The sequence below is a fragment of the Homo sapiens genome, chromosome 19, assembly GCF_000001405.40.
Source record: "Homo sapiens chromosome 19, GRCh38.p14 Primary Assembly".
NCBI lineage: Eukaryota > Metazoa > Chordata > Mammalia > Primates > Hominidae > Homo > Homo sapiens.
The window spans coordinates 2,609,962-2,631,294 of NC_000019.10; the positions used below are offsets into that span (position 1 = coordinate 2,609,962).

The following is a 21,333-nucleotide window of genomic DNA, read 5'->3' on the forward strand; positions in this document are numbered from 1 at the left end:
CCGAGCACCTGCCAGGCTCCCCACCCAGTGCTCCCAAAAGTAGAGGGCCCCCTCCCTCCCCTAAACTCTCAGAGGTTAGTATCACCGGGTCAAGATGATGACAGCACGGGGAAGCCTCTGGCAAGGGCCTTGCCCCAGGGGACAGCTCAGGTGGCCTCGGATAACATGACAAAGACCTTCTTTATTTATTATTATTATTAATTTTTTATTTTTTTTGGAGACAGGGTCTCACCCTGTCGCCCAGACTGGAGTGCAGTGGTGCAATCATGGCTCACTGCAGCCTCAGCCTCCTGGACTCAAGCAATACTCCTGCCTCAGCCTCCCGAGCAGCTTGGACTATAGGTGTGCACTGCCACACCTGGCTTTTTTTTTTTTAATTTTTATTTATTTATTATTACTTTTTTAAGACAGAGTCTTGCTCTGTCGCCCAGGCTGGAGTGTAGTGGTGTGATCCTGGGTCATTGCAACCTCTGCCTCCTGGGTTCAAGCGATTCTCCTGCCTCAGCCTCCTGAGTAGCTGGGATTACAGGCAACTGCCACCACGCTCAGCTAATTTTTGTGTTTTCAGTAGAGACGGGGTTTCACCATGTTGGCCAGGCTGATCTCAAACTCCTGACCTCAGGTGATCCACCCGCCTCGCAAAGTGGTGGGATTACAGGCATGAGCTATCACGCCCGGCCACTAATTTTTTTATTTTTTAGTAGAGACGGGGTCTTGCTGTCTTGTCCAGGCTGGTCTCAAACTCCTGGGCTTAAGCGATCCTCCCGCCTCAGCCTCCCAAAGTGCTGGGATTGCAGGCACAAGAGACCCTCTTTTATTGTTGCAAGATGCTGACAGGTTTCAGAAGAGGTTTGAACCAAAGCGGCCTCAGGGACCCAGGTGGCCCCTGGGATACGTTTCTCCCAGGCCAGGTTTGGTTTCAGTCGGCCTGAGCGTGCAGACACCTGTCTCCTGGGCACTAAACTTGACACTTTCAGTTCCTATCAGGCGGTGGGGACGAGGGGGCGGGTGGGAGGGGGGGAACGGGCTCACGTGCCAGGCTCGGGGGGGGGGAAGCGTCCTCAACATTCTCAGAAAGGACCACGCCCGGCACCGGCCTTGGATGGCTTCCCTCTCGCAATCTGCTTTCTGGGAAGTGGGCCCCTCGCACCGGGTGCGGCGCCCAGGGTTCCCCGCCACCCCGACCCTTACTAAGCCGCTCAGCCCAGGGATCCAGGGCCCTGGCGAGACAGCCTGGGAGACGCAGAGTGGGAAATGATGACTGGGAGCTGGTATCGCGAATGTCTACACGCAGACTGACTTCAGGGGCGAGGAATTCCGCCTGGCGAGCGTCTAGACTGCGGTGTTTCTGGGACGCTGGGAGCTGGAGCCAGGACAGGTCTCCCGGGAGCTGGTCTGTGCTGCCACCTGCTGGTCATGGCCCGACAGGCGGCCTCGCTGTCACCACTGAGTGAGCTCGAGGTGCCCCGTCCCAGGACCGTGGCAGGAGGGGGTCCCGTCCTGCGTGGGGCTTGAAGGCAGGTGGGCAAGACGGTGCATAGCCCGAATCTATTTAATGATTTATTTGATAATACCATTTAAAAATATCTCTTAGGCCGGGTGCAATGGCTCACGCCTGTAATCCCAGCACTTGGAGAGGCCAAGGTGGGAGGATAACTTGGGCTCAGAAGGTCGAGACCAGCCTGGCCAAGAGAGCAACACCAGGTCTCTACAAAAAATTAAAAATTAGCCGGGCATGCTGGCGGGCGCCTGTAATCCCATCTACTCAGGAGACCGAGGCAGGAGAATCGCTCGAACCGGGGAGGTGGAGGCTGCACTGAGCGTTGATCGCGCCACTGCTCTCCAGCCTGGGCGACAGAGGGAGATTCTGTCTCTAAAAAAATAAAAAGTAAAAGTAAAAGTAAATAAAAATAAAAATCTTTTTTTTTTTTGAGATGGAGTCTCGCTCTGTCACCAGGCTGAAGTGCAGTAGTGTGATCTCAGCTCACTGCAACCTCCGCCTCCCGAGTTTAAGCGATTCTCCTGCTTCAGCCTCCCCAAGTAGCTGGAACTACAGGCACCCGCCACCACGCCCAGCTAATTTTAGTATTTTTAGTAGAGACCGGGTTTCACCATGTTGGCCAGGATGGTCTCGATCTCTCAACCTCGTGATCCGCCTACCCTGGCCTCCCAAAGTGCTGGGACTACAGGTGTGAGCCAGCGCGCCCGGCCAAATCTTTCTTTCTTTTTAATAATTGGATTGACTTTGGTCTACGGTCTCCCCTGGGGCCCCATCCTTCTCTGGGGTGGGGCCATCCTGGGCACTGCAGGGTGCTCAGCAGCATCTCTGACCTCCGCCCACTCCATGCCAGGAGCATCCCAGTTGTGATAACCACACGTCCCCAAACATCGCCCAGTGCCCCCTGGGGGGCAGCATCACCCACATTTAAAAACAGTTCCAGGGTAGCAGCCTGCAAAGAAGGTGTGTCTGGGACCTGGGCATTTCATATCGGGGTGACCCAGCCTGGGAGAGGGGAGGGGCCTCAGTGAGAAGACTGAAGCCAGGACCCCCCCCAGGCAGGACCCAGGCTCCCACGGCACAAAAGCCCCAGGTCCAGGGTTCCTGGAAATGTTTTAAAATCCAGTCGACAAAAGATGAATAAAATACTTGTGAGTGTATAATCATGAATCCAGCCTGGATTCTGTTTGTCTTTATGCCAAGACAATTGTAAAATACAGCTTAGAATTTTTTTTTTTTTTTGAGAAATTTTTTTTTTTTTTTTGAGAGTCTTGCTGTGTCGCCCAGGCAGCGGTGCGATCTCGGCTCGCTGCAACTTCCACCTCCCAGTTCAAGCAATTCTCCTGCCTGAGCCTCCTGGGTAGCTGGGACTACAGGTACCCACCACCACACCCGGCTAATTTTGTATTTTTAGTAGAGACGGGTTTTCACCATGTTGGCCAGGATGGTCTCGAACTCCTGACCTCAGGTGATCCGTCCGCCTCGGCCTCCCAAAGTGTTGAGATTACAGATGTGAACAACGGTGCCTGGCCAACGTCGGACATTTTTAGAGCGGAGGAGGTAGCCTAGGAGGGCAAATGTGCCCCAGGCCCTGAGTGTCCCAACATGGCCCTGCAGCCAGGTAGAACCAGCCAGGGAAAGGGATGGTGTTTAAGGGACGTGGAAAAGGAATTCAGACAAAGAATTTCTGATGCAAGTTTAACCCGGCTGGTGGCTGCAGCCTACTTCCTGCTACAGGCTGCACAGTCTCTTGCTGAATTAGCACCTACGTTGAATTAGGTGAGTTTGCTTGAACTATACGTTGAATTAGGTGTTGAATTAACACATAGGGGGGCTTTGGGCTCTCAGCCCCTCATCTAAAGTCCATTGTCTCAAGCCACTGCCTCATTGGAAGAGCAGGTGTCTACACTACCTGGAGAGGGGGAGATCCTGCATTAATTATTTGGGGAGAATGCAATCTGTCCCCGCTCCTGCTCACAGTAGATACAAGAATAAACTCCCGACGGGGCAGATGGCATAAACCAGGGGGACCCCCAGCTCCTGGGACTCTTCCTCCTCTCTCCCTCCCCACTCAGGGTGTGGATTTCAATGTGTGCAGCCTCCTGGGACCTCAGTAGGAGAGATGGTCACGGAATGCAGAGTCTCTTGGGGAATCTGTGGATTCCCCTAACCTGGGCGGGGGGTCTCAATCAGGGGTGATCCTGCCCCCAGGGGACACTGGGCAATGTCTGGGGACATTTGTGGTTGTCATGCCTGGAGGTGCTCCCGGCATGGAGTGGGTGGAGGCCAGGACGCCACTCAGCACCCTGCAGTGCCCAGGATGGCCAGACCCCAGAGGATCTAGCCCCAGATGTCCACAGTACCTAGCAGGAGAGATCCTGATTTAATTAATTGGTGAGGGGGAAGATCAAGGGACCCTGGCTATGCCAAGAAACTCGGACTGCAGCAGTGTGTGGATCCTGAATGAGAAAGGTGCGAATCAGACAGAAGCTCGCAGCCTAAGGCCAGCGAAGGCCACGGCCACAGCGACATCTAAAGGCCGGCAAGTGCAATGCAGAATCCACCCAGGGAACTCGGGCCCCGCGCCTACCCCCGGGGTAAAGGGGGCCAGCCTCGCACAGGTGGGTCCGTTGCAGGCGTCTGTTGCGAGACCACATCCTCACCACCCGGTGAACGGCACTGGGAGCAGACTCAAGAGGCTCGAGAGGTCCCAGGAGGGCGGGAAGAGAGTTCCCCCAGCTACAGCCTGAGCATGGTCGCCAGAAAGCAGGTGCGGCGACTTTCCCTAGCACCCTCTCCCTGCCCTCTGTGTACCCGCAGGGGGGCCCTGCACGTCGGGTCTCAGGCACATGTGTGGTGAAATGCACACAACAAAAAAGCTCCCTTTCCAGACATCCAGTGGCATTCGTGCAGCCATCATCTCTAGCTAGCTCTAGAACATTCTCAGCCCCCCAAAAAGACACCCCATCCCTATCAGCTGTCACTTCCCATCCCCCTCCCCAGCCCCTGGCACCCACACATCCCCTTCCTGCCTCTCTAGACTGGCCTGTCCTGGACATTTCATAGAAATAGGATGACACACTGTGTGGCCTTTTGGATCTGGCATCTCTCACTGAGTGTGACATCCTCAAGGGGCATCCAGGCTGCACGTGGCCTGGGTCAGAGTCTCGTTCACGGCTGAGTCTCGTTCCAGTGTGTGGAGGGCCACGCTGTTTATCTATTTACCCACGGACGGACACTTGGGTCATTTCCACCTTTTAGCCATTGTGAATCGTACTGTATGAACATTTGTGGCAAGGTTCTATTTGAACACCTGCTTCCAATTCCTCTGGGCAGATAACTAGGAGCGGAATTGCTGGGTCATGTGGCGACTCCGCGTTCAGCCTTTTGAGGAACCACCAGACTGGTTTCCAAGGCGGCTGCCCCATCTTGCATCACACATCAATTCTCAATGCCAAGGCGTTCCTCAGCTTTTAAACAAGGCACTGAGGCAGGAGGCAGGCAGCTGATTGTTGAAGGTCACCCCGTAGCCATTGGCAGAGCCAGAACTTGCAGCTGTGATTTGTGCCGCGGCTCCTGCCCAAGCCCTCCTTCCCTGGCTTCAGTGCTGGGCTGGGCAAGGTGTGTGGAATAGCCCCGCTTTCTAGGCCACTTTCGGGGTACTGGGCGGCCACTGTCTGGTCTGAAGGTGCCATCTGTGACACTCTTTTTTTTTTTTTTGAGACGGAGTCTCGCTCTGTCGCCCAGGCTGGAGTGCAGTGGCGCGATCTCGGCTCACTGCAAACTCCACCTCCCAGGTTCCCACCATTCAGGCTCCCCCAGACCTCCGCCTCCAGGGAGCCCTCCAGAATGTCCTTCCTCCTGCCTTCAATGCTCCTCCCCATCCTGCAGGGGTCGGCAAGGATGTCCTCTCCTTAGAGACCTTCCTGGACACCACGTGGCACAGACTCTGTCCTCTTGGTGCCACCTCATCCTATTTTCTTTGTCTTTTCCGGTTTTTTTTTTTTTTTTTTTTTTTTTTGAGATAGGGTCTTGCTCTGTTGCCCAGGCTGGAGTGCAGTGGTGCAGTCACAGCTCACTGCAACCTCAGCCTCCTGGGCTCAAGTGATCCTCCTGCCTCAGCCTCCAGAGTAGCTGGAACTACAGGCACCCACCACCACGCCTGGCTAATTTTTTTGTATTTTTAGTAGACATGGGGTTTCACCATGTTAGCCAGGATGGTCTCGATGTCCTGACCTCATGATCTGCCCGCCTCGGCCTCCCAAAGTGCTGGGATTACAGGCATGAGCCACCACGCCTGGCCCATCTGTGAGATTCTGAAGAGCCACTGCTGAGCAATTAAGCTGCCCTCTGCAGTGGGAAATTTTCTTTGCAAGGAAGCAGCAAGGCGGAGGAGGCAGGAGGGTTCCCTAAGATTGTGCACCCACGGCAGCCAGCAATGTGCCTGACACAGTGAAGGGCCTCGGCAAAGGGGCGCCTCCTGTCCCCTTCAAATCCTTACGGGCCACCCCAGGATCTGGTGACCTGGAACAGACTCCTGTATGGGCCTTTTTCCCCTGGTGCCAGCAGGGAACAGGGCAGGATGGAAAAAACACCCAGTAGCCAGTGGCCCACTGATGTCACCAAGCTGCAGGGCTGCCCAGCATTGATTAAACACAGCTGGTGTGGGCCAGGCATGGCACCTCACACCTGTGATCCCAGTGCTTTGGGAGGCTGAGGCGAGAGGATCCCTTGAGCTCAGGAGTTCAAAACCAGCCTGGGCAAAATAGTGAGACCCCATCTCTAATTTATTATTATTATTTTGAGCCGGAGTCTCGCTCTGCTGCCCAGGCTGGAGTGCAATGGCACGATCTCGACTCATTGCAACCTCTGCCTCCCGTGTTCCAGCGATTCTCCTGCCTCAGCCTCCCGAGTAGCTGGGATTACAGGCGTGTGCCACCGTGCCCAGCTAATTTTTGTATTTTTAGTAGAGATGAGGTTTTGTCATGTTAGCCAGGCTAGAGACTCCATCTCTATTAAAAAACAAACAAAGAAAGGCTGGGTGTGGTGGCTCATGCCTATAATCCCAGCACTTTGGGAGGCCAAAGCGAGCGGATCACCTCAGGTCAGGAGTTTGAGACCAGCCTGACCAACAGGGAGAAACCCCGTCTCTCCTAAAAATACAAAATTAGCCGGGCATGGTGGCGGGTGCCTGTAATCCCAGCTACTCAGGAGGCTGAGGCAGAATTGCTTGAACCCGGGAGGCAGAGGTTGCAGGTTGCAGTGAGCCGAGATCACGCCATCGCACTCCAGCCTGAGCAAAACCCCATCTCAAAAAAAAAAACCAGACAAATATAGCTGGTGGGTTCTTGGGCAAGGCTGGTGACCAGGGCCCTAGGGGAGGATGTTTCCAAGAGCTGCCAAGAGCAGTGGGGCCCGGGTTCTGCCCGCCTCTTCCTCTGACTGTTTCCTCATCTGGGGTCACGGGATAAGTGCAGCTCCGCCTCCCTGGTCATGCAGGTGACTGTGAATGAAAGTGTCTTGGAATCAGAAGGTTCTGGCATGAAAGCTTTGCACCAGCCTTCCACCAGTGTGCTGCCCAGCACGTGACTATCGGAAAAACTTTAGCTTATTTCAGCCTAATTACATTCCGTTAACCCAAAGTCTCTGACGTTCAGGGCTGGATCATTCTCTGGGATGGGGCCATCCTGGTGCACTGCAGGGTGCTGAGTGGCGTCCCTGACCCCCACCCACTCCATGCCAGGAGCATCTCCAGTCGTGACAACCACAGATGTCCCCAGATATCACCCAGAGTCCCCTGGAGGCAAACCTGTCCCACTTAAGAACCGCTGGCCTGGACCAGAAACTGGATCTTTCAGGGAGGCAGAGCTCACCAGCCATCCAGGCACTGAGCCCGGCCCAGCCCTGCAGCTCTGACCCTGCCTTGGGCTGTGAGCTCTGAGGACCCCATCAATCTGATCAAGAAGCCACACTAGGTCACCTCAGACCAAGGACATTCTGCCATGATGCTTCAGACTGTTCTTCTCCCCATCCTCCTCTCCACCTCCAGCCCTCAAAGACCTGGCCTGGGTCCCCTCCCGTGGCTCCCAGACCTCCGCTTCCAGGGAGCCCTCCGGAATGTCCTTCCTCCTGCCTTCAATGCTCCTCCCCATCCTGCAGGGGTTGGCAAGGATGTCCCCTCCTTAGAGACCTTCCTGGACACCACGTGGCACAGACTCTCTCCTCTTGGTGCCACCTCATCCTATTTTGTCTTTTCCTTTTTATTTTTTTTTTTTTTGAGATAGGGTCTTGCTCTGTTGCCCAGGCTGGAGTGCAGTGGTGCAGTCACAGCTCACCGCAACCTCAGCCTCCTGGGCTCAAGTGATCCTCCTACCTCAGCCTCCAGAGCAGCTGGAACTACAGGTGTGCACCACCATGCCCGGCTAATTTTTTAAATGTTTTGTAGAGATACGGTCCTGCTATGTTGCCCAGGCTGGTCTCAAACTCCTGGCCTCAAGTGATCCTCCCACCTCGGCCTCCCAAAGCGCTGAGATTACAGGCGTGACTATTTCCTTATCTTCTAAGACCCTCTGTTTGGTTTGCCAGTGTGTCTGGGCATGTGCTGTCTCTGTGTGACACATGCTCCCTGAGAACAGGACTTGATTCCACCTGTATCAGGCTGGGCCCCCAGCACCTAGGCTGTCCCTGGCACACAGTGAGTGTCGGGTCAATATTTGCGACTGACCGACGGGTTGGCCTTCCATCTACTCTTCCACTCACCAGCTTCTCCATCTTGCCCAAATCCCTGCCAACCCCAGGGCACTGAGGACACAGATTACTCCTCACCCATGCCCCTTGCAAAGCTCTCAGCCACATTTTTCTCTTTTCTACCTGTATGTGTGTGGTGTGTGTGTGTGTGTGTGTGTGTGTGTGTGTATCTCACTCTGTTGCCCAGGCTGGAGTGCAGTGGTGCAACCTCAGCTCACTGCAACCTGCACCTCCCCTGTTCAAGCGATTCTCCTGCCTCAGCCTCCCAAGTAGCTGGGATTACAGGCACGTGCCACCACACCCACCTAATTTTTGTATTTTCAGTGGAGACGGGGTTTCGCCATGTTGTCCAGGCTGGTCTCGAACTCCTGACCTCAAATGATCCACCCGCCTCGGCCTCCCAAAGTGCTGGGATTACAGACGTGAGCCACCGTGCCCAGCCTGTTCTATTTTTTTTTTAATAAACAATTTTATTTGGAGTAATTTTAGATTTACAGGAAAGTTGCAAAGAGAGAGTCCCCGCCCACGCCTCACCAGCTTCCTCTTCAGGGGCCACCCTGTGTAACCACAGGGCATTGCTCACAGCTGGGGAACGCTGGCACCTTCCTAGTAACCAAATGCCACAGCGATTCAGCTTCCCTCAGTTTTCCCCTCACGACCTTTCCTGCCCCATTGTGACCCCATCCAGGAGCCCATGTGGCATCTGACCGTCCCATCTCCGTGGGTTCCTCTGGGCTCTCAGTTTCTTGGTCTTTCTTTGGTATTTCCATGAACTTTTTTGTTTGTCTCTTTAAGAAAACGGTTACTATCCATGAAAAACAAACAAACAAAAAATGTCATTCTGGCTACCCTGAGAGCTTATAATTGCTATTTTAAAATGAATGAATACCTATTTGATTGACATTTTCTCAGTTTTGATTTCAAATTCAACAAATATCCGTAAGTAGAAGGCATATAAACAAAAGCTCCTTGGAATAATCGTCAGGACCAGAGAGTTTGAGAACCTTTGTCCTAAGCCAGGGGTTAGCTAACTACGGCCCCTGGACCACATCTAGCTGACTGTGTGTTTTTGTAAATAAAGTTTTATTGGCACACGGCCACACCCACTTGTTGACATATTGCTTGTGGTGGCTTTCCCGCTACAATGGCAGGCAGAGACTGTCCAGCCTGCAAAGGCTAAAACATTTGCCATCTGGATCTCTGCAGAAAAGTTTGCTACCCCAGGCCTCGCACATAGTAAGTTCATAGCAAGTATTTGTTTATAGTAAGGCTGAGCCCTAATCAGGGTGAAGGGCAAGGTCAGACATCGGAGGACCACTGAAATGTCCATTCTGTCCCACCTGGTACAGCAAACGCCACCATGGAGCAGGACTCAGCCATGAAAAGGAACAAGGCTCTGATGCCGGCCACAGTGTGGATGGACCTTGAGGACATCACACTCTATGAAAGGAGCCAGAGACAGAGGGCCACGCAGTGTGTGATCCCATTTCTACGAAATGTCCAGGACAGGCCCATCCATGGGGACAGGGAGGGGATGCGTGTGTGGCAGGGCTGCCGGGGGGAGATGGGGAGTGACTGCTCATGGGGGACAGGGCTTCTTTTGGGGGTGATAGGATGTTCCGGAATTAGATAAAGGAGATGGTTGCACAACTCTGTGAATGTAAAAACCGCTGAGCTGCACATTTTTAAAGGGTGAGTTTTACGCTGTGTCAGTTATATCTCAATAAAGCTAATCCTAGCATTTTGGGAGGACGAGGGGGGGGCGCGGATCACCTGAGGTCGGGAGTTCAAGACCAGCCTGACCAACATAAAGAAACCCCGTCTCTACTAAAAATACAAAATTAGCCAGGCATGGTGGTGCGCGCCTGTATTCGCAGCTACTTGGGAGGCTGAGGCAGGAGAATTGCTTGAACCCGGGAGGTAGAGGTTGCAGGTTGCAGTGAGCCGAGATCGCGCCATAGCACTCCAGCCTGGGCAACAAGAGCAAAACTCTGTCTCAAAAACAGAAAAGAAAAGAGGAGAGGGGAGGGGAGGGGAGGGGAGGGGAGGGGAGGGGAGAGGAGAGGACCCTGTAGAATGAAAGAAAGGCAGATCCCCCTGCACCCTGGCTACAGGCCGTCGTCCCGACCCCTCTCTCTGCAGGCAGGTCACTGCCCCCCTCACAAACCTCTGTCCTGATCCCCCAACCCACACACCAGAGCTGGGCCCATGCACCGGGAAACCTGCCACCCCAGGGGCCACTCCAGTCTCAGACCAACAGGATATTAAAAAAGGCGAAACCTCAGAACCGTTTCCTATCGAAACCAATTAGAAAGCTCTTGGGTATGAGTCCAATGTTTTCAAGCAACTAAAGGCAAAAGAGAAGATTTTCAACGAAACATCCCAGCTGGGGGTGAGCTTCTTAGGGTCCTGTCATCGGCCACCCTAGAGGGACCTAGGGGTGAGCTTATGCCGTCAGCACCCCCAGCCAACGTGGGTCGGCCAGTTAGCTGGGCGTGGTGTTGTGCGCCTGTAATCCCAGCTACTTGGGAGGTTGAGGCAGGAGAATTGCTTGAACCCGGGAAGTGGAGGTTGCAGTGAGCCGAAATCGTGCCATTGCACTCTGGCTCCGGGCAACAGAGCAAGACAGCTCTGTGCAGAGAACAGACTCCTGCGGTGGAAATGCTGGCTGCCTTTGAGGCTGGGTTCTGTGACCTTGGGTTTCCCAGCCTGAGCTTCCAGTTTCATTTATAAAAGGGGTGACGTGGCCGCCTTCCTGCAGGCGCTCTGAAGGTGGCAGATTACACAGAGGTGGTACGACTCATACAGGTTTCTGCAAACGGGGGCCCCATCAACAGTCACCTTTCCTTAGCACAGCGCCTTCCTCCTGGGGTGACCTCGCCCCTTCCTGCACACCCCAGGAGCTTCCTGAGACCTGAGTAAAGCTCACTTCCCTTGCAAGGGGTTTAGTGACGTCCCTTCAAAATTCTTGTCCACGGGGAACCTCGGAAAATGACTGTTACGGACTAATTGCATTTGCTTAAAACTTATGTTGAAGCTGGATGTGGTGGTCCACACCTGTGGTCCCAGCTACTCGGGAAGCTGAGGCGGGAGGATTGCTTGAGCCCTAGGATTTCAGGGCTGCAGTGAGCTATGATGCTGCCACTGCACTCCAGCCTGTGCAACACAGCAGCAAGACTCCAGACACAAAAAATTAATTAAAGAAAAATGGCTGGGCACAGTGGCTCACTCCTGTAATCCCAGCACTTTGGGAGGCCGAGGTGGGCAGATCACCTGAGATAAGGAGTTCGAGACCAGCCTGACCAACATGGACAAACCTCATCTCTACTAAAAACACAAAGTTAGCCGGGCGTGTTGGTGCGCGCCTGTAATCCCAGCTACTCGGGAGGCTGAGGCAGGAGAATTGCTTGAACCTGGGAGGCAGAGGTTGCAGTGAGCCAAGATGGCACCACTGCACTCCAGCCTGGGTGACAGAGCAAGACCTCATCTAAAACAAACAAACAAACAAACAAACAAAAACAAAGAAGGAGACACAGAGAGACAGCAGAAAACAGAAGCAGAGACTGGAGCAATTCGACGGTAAGCACAAGCCAGGTTTGCCAGAGCCCCCAGAAGCCAGAGGACGCGGAAGGATCCTCTCCTGTAGCGCCCAGGGGAGCACAGCTCTGCAGACAGCTTGGTTTAGTACTTCTGCCCTCCAGAACCGTGAGAGGACACACGTCTGCGGATTGATACTTCCGGGTCTGTGGTCACCTGTTATGGCAGCCACAAGAGGCTCGTCTGCCCCTTTTCTCTCCCCTTCCTTCATGCTGATCACCACGGAGGAGTGAGTTCGATTCCCTCTGCCTGCCCAAAACCCTCATCAACTTTTTTTTTTTTTCTCTCTCTTTTGAGACGGAGTCTTGCTCTGTCACCCAGGCTGGAGTGCAGTGGCGAGATCTCGGCTCACTGCAAGCTCTGCCTCCCGGGTTCACGCCATTCTCCTGCCTCAGCCTCCTGAGTAGCTGGGACTACAGGCGCCCGCCACCACACCCGGCTAATTTTTTGTATTTTCAGTAGAGACGGGGTTTCACCATGTTAGCCAGGATGGTCTCGATCTCCTGACCTTGTGATCCGCCTGTGTCGGCCTCCCAAAGTGCTGGGATTACAGGCATGAGCCACCGCGCCCGGCTCCTGGTGGTTTTTAAGCTTGCAAAGGGTGCGGGATAAGCCCTGCAGAAGTCAATGGTCAGTAATGAGGGCTGGGGATTCAGCCCATCTCCAGGGAAAGCCCCCGAAACTGGCAACACCAGCTGCTTCCGGGAAGGGGAACCCAATGCGAGCAACGCGGCAGAGAGGGGGCTTCCGGGAAGGGGAACCCAACGCGAGCAACGCGGCAGAGAGGGGGGCTTCCGGGAAGGGGAACCCAACGCGAGCAACGCGGCAGAGAGGGGGGCTTCCGGGAAGGGGAACCCAACGCGAGCAACGCGGCAGATAGGGGGCTTCCGGGAAGGGGAACCCAATGCGAGCAACGCGGCAGAGAGGGAGGCTTCCGGGATGGGGAACCCAATGCGAGCAACGCGGCAGAGAGGGAGGCTTCCGGGATGGGGAACCCAATGCGAGCAACGCGGCAGAGAGGGGGCTTCCGGGAAAGGGAGCTCAATGCGAGAGCAACGTGGCAGAGAGGAGGGCTTTGTTTTCACTTTCACCGTGTATCATTTATACCACTAGAGCTCTGACACCCCGGGCACGGCCACTGATAGAAAACATTGGTCCTTCTTCCTGGGGGTGTGTGGCCAAGTGAGGGTGGGTGAGGGAGAAGCCACTTTCCGGCTAAGGTCCTCAACACCCAGGCTCAGTCTGAGCTCTTCTGTGTCCCAGGAGGCAAAAAGGTGACCACAGGTTGGGCTGTAGTATCAAACCCAGAACAAACGGGGTGTTCCAAGCCTGGGCAACATAGCCAGACCCCATCTCTACAAAAAAATAATTAGCCAGGCGTGGTGGTGCACCTGTAGTCCCAGCTACTTTGGAGGCTGAGATGGGAGGATCGCTTGAGCATGGGCATTTGAGGCTGCAGTGAGCTGTGATCGTGCCACTGCACTCCAGCCTGGGCAACAGAGCAAGACCAGGTCTCAAGAAAACAAATAAACAAGGTGTTCCTTACCCAAAGGAATTGCAAGGAGGGGCTCGGACAGATACTTGTACTGTTCACTCATGTTCACAGCACCCAAAAGGTGGAAGCAATCAATCCAAGCGTCCATCAACAGATGGACAGATAAACAGCATGGTGCATCTGTATGATGGAATATTACTCAGCCATGAAAAGGAAGGGAATCCCAACACAGGCTGCAACACGGATGCACCTTGAGGACGTCACGCTCAGTGAGAGAACCCAGACACAAAAAACCAAATTGGCCAGGTGTGGTGGCTCACGCCTTTAATCCCAGCACTTTGGGAGGCCAAGGCAGGTGGATCACTTGAGGTCAGGAGTTGGAGACCAGCCTGGGCAATGTGGTGAAACCCCATCTCTACTAAAAATACAAAAATTAGCCGGGCATAGTGGCAGGTGCCTGTAATTCCAGCTACTCAGGAGGCTGAAGCAGGAGAATTGCTTGAATCTGGGAGGCGGAGGTTGCAGTGAGCCGAGGTCGCACCGCTGCACTCCAGCCTGGGCCACAGAGCGAGACTGCATCTAAAAGAAAAGGACAAATCTTGTGTGACTGCACGCCTAGGAGGTCCCTAGAGCCGTCAGATTCACAGAGACAGTCCATCTGTTGATGGACGCTTGAGTTGCTTCCACCTTTTGGCTGCTGTGAACATGAGCGAACAGTACAAGGGAAGCAGGATGGGGGGTGCCAAGGGCTGGGAAGGGGACGGGGAGCAAGTGTTTCACGGGGACAGAGATTCAGTCTGGGAAGATGGAAAGTTCTGGAGATGACGGTGGTGATGGGTGCAGCACCATGCAAATGTGCTTAATGCCACTGAACTGAGCCCTTAGAAATGGCTAAGATGGTAAATACTATGTTTCATATATTTTACCACAATTAAAAAAAGAAAGAAAGGGCCGGGCGCGGTGGCTCACGCCTGTAATCCCAGCACTTTGGGAGGCCGAGGTGGAAGGATCACGAGGTCAGGAGATCGAGACCATCCTGGCTAACATGGTGAAACCCCGTCTCCAATAAAAATACAAAAAAAATTAGCCGGGCGTGGTGGTGGGCGCCTGTAGTCCCAGCTACTCCGGAGGCTGAGGCAGGAGAATGGCGAGAACCCGGGAGGCGGAGCTTGCAGTGAGCCGAGATTGTGCCACTTAACTCCAGCCTGGGAGACAGCGAGACTCCGTCTCAAAAAAAAAAAAAAAAAAGAAAAAGAAAAAAAGAAAAGAAAGAAAGAAAGGTGCTCCAGTGGCTCTCAGGCAGAGCTCCACCTCTGTCTGGTTGCCGGTGGTGCCACAGCACAGCAGGCCTCTCGTCTCCGGAGCAGTGACTGTGACCTGTTGCCAGCCCTGGCGGCTATTCCTAGCAGCTCCTGACCTGCAGGAGGCTGAGCCCAGCAGTGCCTTCTGGGAAGGAGGGAAGGAGGGAGGCTTTCTGGTAATTACCCCCAGGCAGAGGGCAGGCGGGCACAGGGGCCCGAGCCCCTCCAGCCCATCCCACAGGCTCCAGGGTGTTTACTGAGCTTGCAGAATTCCACGCTGTGGGCTGGGCCACTCCTGCCCTGAGACAGGAAGACAAGGTCAGCTCAGGGCACAGAAGCCATCTCCTGGCTGTCACCTTTCCTTGTGGGTGCAGAGCCGGACCCCAGGCAGGGGTGGACGCCTGTGGTTTACCTCCCTGGGGGCTCGGGCCCTGTGCCGAGGGTGCATGTGTTGTCCCCTGGGGCCTCTAGACCTCTTCCTTTCTTTTGAGACAAGATCTTGCTCTGTCGCCAGGCTGGAGTGCAGTGGTGCGATCTCAGCTCACTGCAACCTCCGCCTCCCGGGTTCAAGCAATCCTCCTGCCTCAGCCTCCCGAATAGCTGGGAATACAGGTGCACACCACTGCACCCGGCTAATTTTTAAAAATTTTTTTGTAGACAAGGGGGTCTCACTCTTTTACTGAGCCTGGTCCTGAATCCTGGCCTCAAGCAATTCTCTCACTTCAGCACCCCAAAGCACTGGGATTATAGGTGTGAGCCACTGTGCCCAGCCAGGGTTTTTATTTTTATTTTTTGCAGAAATAGAGGGGGGTCTCTGTTGCCCAGGCTGGTCTCAAACTCCCGGCCTCAAGCGATCTTCCCATGTCGGCCTCTGAAAGTGCTGGGATTACAGGCGTGAGCCACTGCTCCCAGATTAGCCAGACTTCTCTCTTCTCCTCGGTCACGGGGATCAGGAAGCAGAGAACCAAGGTTCTGCCACCAACTTGTAGAAGGGCCATGGGTCACCCATGCCCCTCCCAGTGTTTCCATGGTTGCCAGGGAAGCCAGTGAAGGGCAGAGTCTTTGGGGAGGAGGAAGCTGGGTCAGAGAGGAGATGAGGGTGTGAGAGGGTGAGCAGGTAGCGCCCTCACCGTGCTGGGCACAAGACAAGGACTTCAGAGCTGATTATTTTGGTTTTGGGGTTTTTTGTTTGTTTTTGTTTTTGTTTTGTTTTTGAGGCGGAGTCTCACTCTGTCGCCCAGGCTGGACTGCTCACTGATGCTCACCGCAACTCCGCCTCCCGGGTTCAAGCGATTCTCCTGCCTCAGCCTCCCAAGTAGCTAGGATTACAGGCGCCCACCACCACGCCTGGCTAATTTTTGTATTTTTAGTAGAGATGGGGTTTCACTATGTTGGCCAGGCTGGTCTCGAACTCCTGACCTCAGGTGATCCACCCGCCTCGGCCTCCCAAAGTGCTGGGATGACAGGCGTGAGCCATGGCGCCCGGCCTGATTATTTCATTTACTCCCTGCAGCAACCCTGGACTGCAGGGGTGGTGATCACCCCCCATTTTACCAAACAGAAGCAGAGAGTGACCGCGGGTGCCCACCTGACCCCGTGTCTCCAGCGGGAACGTGAAGCTGATGCTGCTCCCGCCCCAGGCCTGAAGCCGGCCCCCTGCCCCAAACCAGCCTGACCAGCGGCACCGTGGAAACCCACCGGGATCTCTGCCACCCACAGGAGGCTGGGGCATCTCTCACCCCCTCTGTGCCTCAGTTTCCTAATCTGTCACACAGGGAGGCTGGACCCAAACCAATTGATTGTTGTCATGGGTGGAGCCGGAACCCGCTATGGCTCCCTCCTGCCCTCGGGATAAAATGCAGCCTCTGCCGTGCGGCCTCCTCACTCCCTCCCTCTCACCTTTTCAAGGTCCTGGAACCATCTCTGCACCTGTATCCCCCACCCCACCTGTCACCTTCAGGGCACTAGCAACACTCAACTCATGTCACTTCCTCCAGGAAGCCCTCCCTGAATTCCCGAACAAAGCTCCTGGTGTGGGCACCTGCTTTCACTCTTGGGCGGTGTTGTCTTCATCGGTTCACTCAATCAGGGTCTCAACTGGGGTAATTCTGTCCCCTCAGGGGACACTGGGCGGTGTCGGGGGACATCTGTAATTGTCATGACGGAGGGAAGTGGGACCTTCCCTGACTAATATTCCCTCACATCGGTCCATGCTCCTGGCATGGAGTGGGTGGAGGCCAGGGATGCTGCTCAGCACCCTGCAGTGCCCAGGACGGCCTCACCCCAGAGAACAGTCCAGTGTCAGTGTCCACAGTGCCCAGGGGGAGAGACCTGCTTTAATTATTTGGGAATAAACTGAGTGTCCTCCCTACTCACACCAGACACTGGAATAAACTCCAGATGGAGCAGACGGCATAAACCCGGGAGCCCCAGCTCCTGGGACTCATCTCCTCTCTCTCTTCCCACTCAGGTGTGGATTTCAATGTGTGCAGCCTCCTGGGACCTCCGCAGGGCAGAGGATCATGGGATGCAGAATCTCTTGGGGTCTGTGGAATCTTCTATCCCAGAGGGTCTCAACCAAGGTGTTTCTGTCCCAGGGGACGCTGGGTGATGTCTGGGGATATTTGTGGTTGTCATGACTGGGGGTGCTCCTGGCATGGAGTTGGTGGAGGCCAGGGACACTGTCAGCACCCTGCAGTGCCCAGGATGACCCACCCCAGAGAACGATCCACCTCACATGTTAAATGGCGGTAAGGGGGTGAACCCACCCCCTGCATGGCTCCAGGGGCACCCAGAGTGGGGCCCCAGCCCTGTGGCCGCCTCTCCTCCCACTTCCTCCGGGCGCCTGTCCTCTGCACCTGCATCCTCTGGCCCTGGCTCCCTTCAGAGCTGGTCACAGCTGGCAGCCCGCGTGCTGTAAACACCCACCCAGGCGTGCCAGCCAGACCTGGCTTTCTGTCACTCCCGGCTGATTCTGAATTCCCAGTCTCACATGGGCCAGAGGGTGACTGGCTCGAGACTTGCCTCTCATTACGAGCAAAGCTCTGATTCAGCCGGAATATTAGTCAGGGTACAGCATGTCACATTCCAGGAGGCTGATCAGCTCCGACCTCAACACCGGCAGCTGACTCAGCCCGGGGAGTTGCATGTGCTGACTACTCCTTCTGAGCCTCACAGTTATGTTCTCGAGATTTCACTCAGTGTCCTATGGTGTCACTGGTCCTGGTCGCAGACACAGACTCACCTGTGTGCAGGAGGTCAGGTGAGGATCGGTCCCAGCACCTTCATTCTTTGTTTCTTTCACTCACTCAGTAAACATCTGGTGAAGACTTGGACCAGATCCCTGATCTTAATGAAGGAGGTGACGGTCCGGCCCAGGTGACAGGCACAGTTAATGTGATGATCACAACACAGTTGCCATGTGACCCTGGGCACGTCAGCCCCTCTCAGCTACTGTTTTCTCCTATGTGAAGTGGAGATCATTATCTCAATCTCAACATGGCAAACAACACGGCAAGTGTATGAGTCAGCTACTGCTGAGTAACAACAGCGGCAACAAAGACACCATTTGCCATCTCACAACTTCTGTGTGTCAAGAGTCTGGCTTAACTGGGTCCCCCGCTCAGAGTCTTATAAGCCTAAAATCAAGGTATGGGCTGGGCCGAGTTGTCATCTGGAATTTGGGGTCCTCTTCTGAGCTAGTTTGGTTATCGGCAGAATTCATTTCCTTGCAGCTCTAGGAATGAGGTCCCTGTTTACCTACTGGCTGTTGGATGTGAGTGCTCTGAGCCCCTAGAGGCTACTCTCAGGTGTCTGCCACATGGACCCTCCACAGGCAGCTCACGACATAGCTGTTTGCTTTCTTTAAGGCAAGAAACCCCTTCCCTTTCTCTCTTTCTTTCAACTGTGGTGTGTGTGTGTGTGTGTATATATATATATAACATAAGACGGATCATCTTAACCACGTTTATGTGTACGGTTCAGTGATGTTAAGTATACTCACACTGCTGTGCAATGGCTCTCCAGAACCTTCCATCTTGTAAAACTGAGACACTGTATCCACTGAACAACAGCTCCCCTCTTCCCTCCCCCAGCCCCTAGCACCCACCATTCTCCCTTCTGTCTCTCTGAATTTGACACCTCGGGATGTGCTTCTGGTCTCTTTTATGGGCTCACCTGATGAGGTCAGGCCCACCCAGGATGTCTCCTTTTTGATGAGCTCAGGTCAACTGACTAGGAATCTTCGTCGCATCTGCAAAATCCCTTTACCGAACACACGACCTAACTGCATTAACCTAACCACTGGAGTGACACCCCATCGTATTCGCAGGTCCAGCCCATCCTCAAGTGCAGGGGATTAGATAAGATGTGGGCACCAGGCGGTGGGGGTCTTGGGCGCCATCTTGGAATTCTGCCTAGGACTGTAGCTGTAAAAGACATGGTGGCCATTGCTGCTGTAGGTGCCATTAGTAGGAAACACACACAAAGTGGCCCCCAAGGAGCACGTACTATGCATCAGGCTCTGTGCAAGGCACAGAGAAAACAGCAAAGAACTTTGGGGAAAGTTGAAGACTTGAGGTGAACAACTGGATATCTTAGTAGGTCTCTCTGAAGGTTGAGCAAATGGATAGGGGATATTGGGAGATGGGTTATGTCCCTTGGAAAGAACTCCAAATGTCCCTTTCAATAACTTTCCACTCTACCAGTCATCTCCTCCTTCCAGAAATTCTCAGGAGGCAGCGCTTGGTGGCTCTTCTGCAGATGCCAGGATGGTGACGGTGACAGCAGGCCACGCTCTTGTGTTTAGAATAGGAGGTCCCCAAGGACACAGAGTCACAGACGGGTCAGGTAAGTTGCCTGGGCGCCCACACGAATAGGAGGTGCTTCTGGATTTGAAACAAGTCTTCTAGTGCTAGGAGCCCCAGAACACACCTAGTGCCACCCCCTCCCCACGACAAAGCCCACCAGAAGGGCTGGCTGCCTAAAGAGGTAGTGGACAAGACCTCACAGACTCACAGACTAGTGGGAGAAGACAGAAGAGCGTAGCCCTGAACGCAGTGTGGGGGCACACGGTGATTGGAACCTGGCACCCACATCAACGGTCAAAGTCTAGATGGTTTTGTTTGGTTGTACTCCCGCCTCCCTCTGACCCCATGCCCACGAGTAAGAGGAGCTCCGTCCACATTTATGGACACTTAATGTTCCTGCACACCCATAAATAAGGTGAAGCCGAGTCTGCATGTGTGCGAAAGGGCACAGAGCTTTGCACATACATGGTGCCAGGGTCCATTTCCTGGTTTTGTACTATGGTTACGTAAGATGTCACCACTGGGGGAAACTGTGAAGATACATGTGATGTTTTTTGCTCTGTGTGATTTTTGCAACTTCCTCTGAATCTGTAATGATTTCAAAATAAAGGTTGTTTTTTTTTTTTAATAAGTGGAGACACATTTAGGTGTAACTGGGACACAGCCTGCCACCTACTTTCCAAATGCCTCCTTTCTCCCAATAACCCCCACCCTCTCCCCAAAGACCTGGCAGTACTCCTGCAAGAGGAAGGGATGGACGCCAGAAAAAGGGAGTGAAGGTCCTGCTGATTCGGTCCTGGCTGAGGCCGAACGCAGGCCCCCCCTTCCCTTTGCCACCAAGAGGAGTCTAAGATCTCCCTGGAGAACATATCTTGTAGAACCCCCTCCCCTTGAGTGTGGGCAGGGCCCGTGGACATGATGAGATATCACTCCCCTGATTAGGTTGCTTTTCAGGAAAGAAGGGATTTTGAAGAGGTAAATAAGGTCCTAAATCAGTTGACCTTGAGTTCACTGAAAGGGCGATTATCCTAGGTGGGCCTGGTCTAATCAGGTGACCCTTTAAAAGGGATTGGGCCTTTCCTGAAATGAGAGCCTGGAAGCATGAGGGGCCTATGGAGAAGGCCAAGTGGCCTGAGAGTGGCCTCAAAGAGCTGAGAGTTGCCCCCTCCTGACAGCTAACAACGCAACAGAAACAGTCTATCAACCACAAAGAACTGAATTCTGAATGAGCCTGGAATGAGCTTGGAAGGGGATCCGTCACCACACAAACCTTCGGATGAGAATGCAGCCCTGGCTCACATCTCCGAGGTCAGAAGTTTGGACATAGTGTGGCTGGGTCCTCTGTGCAGGGTCTTACCCAGCCACACTACATCCAAACTTCTGACCTATGGAACCATGAGATAATAAATGGGTGTCACTCTAAGCTACTGCATTCATGGTAGTTGTTACGCAGCCATAGCTAGCTAATACACTCTTTATGTGCTGCAGACTAGAGCATTCTGGGATTTTATGGTCAGCTTTCAAACTTATTCATACACAAGGGTTTGGACATCATGTCCCTCCACAATCAGCCAAGCAACTCAGCAGTTTCCTCCTGAGTATGTCTGAGTATATCATCAAAAAGGTCTAATGACTATGACATTATCTGATTGTCTCAACAGCACTGTGTGGGGCTGAGGAGGCATAGCAGGCATGAAGACCAGAGGAAGAATGGTGCATTTAGTATTAGACAGCTTGACATGCATTAACCCCTTGAGAGGCAGGCACTGCCTATTCTCCCCCCTTTCACAGACGAGGGCATTGAGGTTCAGAAAAGCACAGAGATGGCCCAGGGTCACAGAGCCAGTAGGTGGCAGAGTTGGGAGCCCAAGCCCTAAACTGCTGGTT

The 21,333-nt window shown here is 53.9% G+C and overlaps 1 protein-coding gene and 1 non-coding gene across 3 annotated transcripts in view, besides 6 other annotated features; one reads left to right on the forward strand and one right to left on the reverse strand.

The window, feature by feature from the left end:
• GNG7 (G protein subunit gamma 7) overlaps nt 1–21,333 on the reverse strand; it is a 191,476-nt gene that overhangs the window by 98,743 nt on the left and 71,400 nt on the right. The gene's annotated exons all lie outside the window — the stretch shown is intronic.
• Nucleotides 1,013–1,092: a silencer, noted in NCBI's record as "silent region_9803". NCBI's record gives its function as "represses an Ori minimal core promoter by ATAC-STARR-seq in GM12878 lymphoblastoid cells {active_cell/tissue: GM12878}" and the evidence as "EXISTENCE:reporter gene assay evidence [ECO:0000049][PMID:35858748]".
• Nucleotides 9,210–9,504: an enhancer, noted in NCBI's record as "tiled region #3019; HepG2 Activating DNase matched - State 8:EnhW, and K562 Activating non-DNase unmatched - State 20:ReprD". NCBI's record gives its function as "activates a minimal TATA promoter and a strong SV40 promoter by Sharpr-MPRA in HepG2 and K562 cells {active_cell/tissue: HepG2 | K562}" and the evidence as "EXISTENCE:reporter gene assay evidence [ECO:0000049][PMID:27701403]".
• Nucleotides 10,837–11,136: an enhancer, noted in NCBI's record as "active region_13708". NCBI's record gives its function as "activates an Ori minimal core promoter by ATAC-STARR-seq in GM12878 lymphoblastoid cells {active_cell/tissue: GM12878}" and the evidence as "EXISTENCE:reporter gene assay evidence [ECO:0000049][PMID:35858748]".
• Nucleotides 12,016–12,215: an enhancer, noted in NCBI's record as "active region_13709". NCBI's record gives its function as "activates an Ori minimal core promoter by ATAC-STARR-seq in GM12878 lymphoblastoid cells {active_cell/tissue: GM12878}" and the evidence as "EXISTENCE:reporter gene assay evidence [ECO:0000049][PMID:35858748]".
• Nucleotides 14,960–15,209: an enhancer, noted in NCBI's record as "active region_13710". NCBI's record gives its function as "activates an Ori minimal core promoter by ATAC-STARR-seq in GM12878 lymphoblastoid cells {active_cell/tissue: GM12878}" and the evidence as "EXISTENCE:reporter gene assay evidence [ECO:0000049][PMID:35858748]".
• Nucleotides 17,020–18,219: an enhancer, noted in NCBI's record as "P300/CBP strongly-dependent group 1 enhancer chr19:2626979-2628178 (GRCh37/hg19 assembly coordinates)". NCBI's record gives its function as "activates an origin of replication core promoter dependent on BRD2, BRD4, P300/CBP, MED14 and CDK7 cofactors, with strong dependence on P300/CBP, by STARR-seq in HCT116 cells {active_cell/tissue: HCT116}" and the evidence as "EXISTENCE:reporter gene assay evidence [ECO:0000049][PMID:35650434]".
• Nucleotides 20,754–20,832, forward strand: MIR7850 (microRNA 7850). Its single transcript, NR_107004.1, has one exon. It is a non-coding gene; the product is annotated as a microRNA 7850 (primary transcript).